Source organism: Homo sapiens, chromosome 1 (assembly GCF_000001405.40).
Source record: "Homo sapiens chromosome 1, GRCh38.p14 Primary Assembly".
In the NCBI taxonomy this organism is placed as follows: domain Eukaryota; kingdom Metazoa; phylum Chordata; class Mammalia; order Primates; family Hominidae; genus Homo; species Homo sapiens.
The window spans coordinates 257,667-260,947 of NC_000001.11; the positions used below are offsets into that span (position 1 = coordinate 257,667).

Genomic DNA, 3,281 nt, shown 5'->3' on the forward strand with positions numbered 1-3,281 from the left:
GATTCATGGCTGAAATCGTGTTTGACCAGCTATGTGTGTCTCTCAATCCGATCAAGTAGATGTCTAAAATTAACCGTCAGAATATTTATGCCTGATTCATGGCTGAAATTGTGTTTGACCAGCTATGTGTGTCTCTTAATCCACTCAAGTAGATGTCTAAAATTAACCATCAGAATATTTATGCCTGATTCATGGCTGAAATCACGTTTGACCAGCTATGTGTGTCTCTTAATCCAGTCAAGTAGATGTCTAAAATTAACCATCAGAATATTTATGCCTGATTCATGGCTGAAATCGTGTTTGACCAGCTATGTGTGTCTCTCAATCCGATCAAGTAGATGTCTGAAATTAACCATCAGAATATTTATGCCTGATTCATGGCTGAAATTTCAGGATGAAAGCTATGAAATCTCTATTTGTGTTTGTGTATCTATTAATGTATGTTATGTATATGTGATATTTTCTTAACTCCAGAGAGCATTGCAAAATTCATTTATGAAAACCTCTAAAAGTGCTCTATTCTAACTTGGCTTGGAAAAAAATAAGCATTTATAAATAAATATTCACCAAACTCCTAGAAATATAGGAACTGATCAAATGTTTCTTAAGTTAACATGATTTGGATAAAACTTAGTTAAATAAGATTAATATAGTATTTTTGGTGTAATAAAACAACTATATCTTCAAAATTATCATTATTGAATATAAAACAAGCATAAATTCCTATTCTGCTTGAGTTCTAGTCAAATAAGCTAATATTATACTTACTAGAAACGTAAAATCTTAAAGCTTATAGATTTGATTCTAATTAAGTTGTCATTCTTATGAAAAACATTATTTTTTTTATGCTGAAAAGATACACATATATTTAGAGTTAGCCAGCTGGACTCAGTTTAGGTGATCCCAATTTTGTTACAACATCGAAAGCATCATAATCAGGAGCAAGTCGAACATATGCCTTCTCTTTATCAGGACAAATCAGGGTGGTGACCTTGGCCACATCACTGTCATAGAGCTTCTTCACAGCCTGTCTGATCTGGTGCTTGTTGGCTTTAACATCCACAGTGAACACAAGCGTGTTGTTTTCTTCTATCTTCTTCACGGCCGACTCAGTGGTCAGCGGAAACTTGATGATAGCATAGTGGCCAAGCTTGTTTCTCCTGGGGGTGCTCTTCCGAGGATATCTGGGCTGCCTCCGGAGTCGCAGTGTCTTGGGCCGCCTGAAGGTGAGTGACATGCGGATCTTCTTTTTTGCGTGTGGCTGCGGACACCTTTCAACACTGCCTTCTTGGCCTTTAAGGCCTTCGCTTTGGCTTCGGCTTTAGGAGGAGCAGGAGCTTCCTTCGCTTTCGGTGCCGTCTTGTGAAAAGCGAAAAACATTATTTCAAAAATAATTTGTTTACAGTAAATCTGCCTAAGAATAGTTTCCAAAGTACTTTTGGTAATTTTTAACCTTAAAGTTAAGCTAAGTAAAAGATTTGCATTAAATATCTAGACCATTTATAAATAAGATACAATACTAAAACATTAATTACTGAACATAAATAATTCAAGTTTATATACTTTTGGCTTCCTGTTTTTACAGAGAGACTAAAGATATTTTGGCCCGTTAATAAACATGTTTTTTTCTGCCACACTGAGGAATTGTATTATGAGAAAACACATCCCTCTAGATGTTGGGAGATGGTATATTCATACATTTTCTAACCTACTATAGAATGCTAATATATGACAGTTTATAACCGTCTACTTCCTAGTTTTCTCTGGAAAATAAAAGATTACTAAGTATTAAAATTATAATCAATATATGTAAATAAAACTACTAGAAATAATAGAATAACTAGAAACAACTCTATGCAAAGCATGCAAGAAAAGTAGGGCATGTTTCGCAAGTAAAGTAGGTTGCATTTTTTATAAGGAAAACCATACAGAAGATACAAATAAAAAGAGATACCTAACCTTCCCTGTGTTATATTTGTATGGGTAAAATGTTATGTTTTCAGAAATTATATAAAATTCCTGGAAGTTTGTCAATGTCCTCCTTATCCATGCTATGTGCCACTATAGAGTAATGAGTCATAATTCCAATTATTACTTTAAATGTTGTGCCAGGCACAGTGGCTCATGCCTATAATCCCAGCACTTTAGGAGGCTGAGGCGGGTGGATCACAAGGTCAGGAGATCCAGACCATCCTGGTTAACTCGGTGAATCTCCATCTCTATTAAAAATATAAAAAATTAGCCGGGCGTGATGGAAGGCACCTGTAGTCCCAGCTACTCGGGAGGCTGAGGCAGGAGAATGGCGTGAACCCAGGAGACAGAGCTTGCAGTGAGCCGAGATCGCACTGCTGCACTCCAGCCTGGGCGACAGAGCAAGACTCTGTCTCTAAATAAATAAATAAATAAATGTTGTCTGCCACAGAAAAAATCGAATATTTTGGTAGAAACCCCGTCTCTACCAAAAATACAAAAATTAGATGGGCAGGACGGCATGTGCCTGTAGTCCCAGGTAATCAGGAGGCTGAGGAGGGAGGATCGTTTGCACCCAGGAGGTAGAGGTTGCAGTGAGCTGACATTGCACCTTTGCACTCCAGCCTGGGCGATAGAGCCAGACCCTGTCTCAAAAAAAATTTTTTTAAATGAAAACTATAGCCATTGTGAGTTATCAGATTCTAGTCTTGTTTCTTGTTTCTGGGCTATTTTTACCTCTTTGTAAACTGGATCCTGCCATCTGATGAATTTTGTCCCACAATGATACTTGGGGAACAAGAAGCCAAGTATTGTCTCTCCTACTAATGTATCTATTGTCAGTTAATTTGAAGGTCTCCAACCCTGGAACAAAGTTAGAAGAGGAAGGTTCTACTCCCCAAAATGCATAACCAAATTGTGCTACATTCATGTAATGGAATACTATTTAGCCATAGAAAGGAACAAGATATCAACACACACAAAGACATGAGTGAATCTTGCATGCACATTGCTAAGTGGAAGAAGACAGTCTGAGGAGGATACACATAGTGTGACCTCATTTAATGAGACACTGGGGAAGGCAAACTACACAGATGGGAAGCCATTGGCTCCATGGGGTGGGGGTTTGAGGCATTCCATATGATACTTTAATAGTGGGATATCTGCCACAATGCATTTGTCGAAATATGCAGAATTTTACAGCCAAATGGTTAAAGCAAACTCTATTCAAATTAAATCAAATTACTCAGGATGTGGAGTATCCCAGGACAGAATACATCATGTGAAAAAGAATTTATGCTACAAATTACGAT

The 3,281-nt window shown here is 37.4% G+C and overlaps 1 pseudogene; it reads right to left on the reverse strand.

The window, feature by feature from the left end:
* RPL23AP21 (ribosomal protein L23a pseudogene 21) lies at positions 845–1,370 on the reverse strand (annotated as a pseudogene).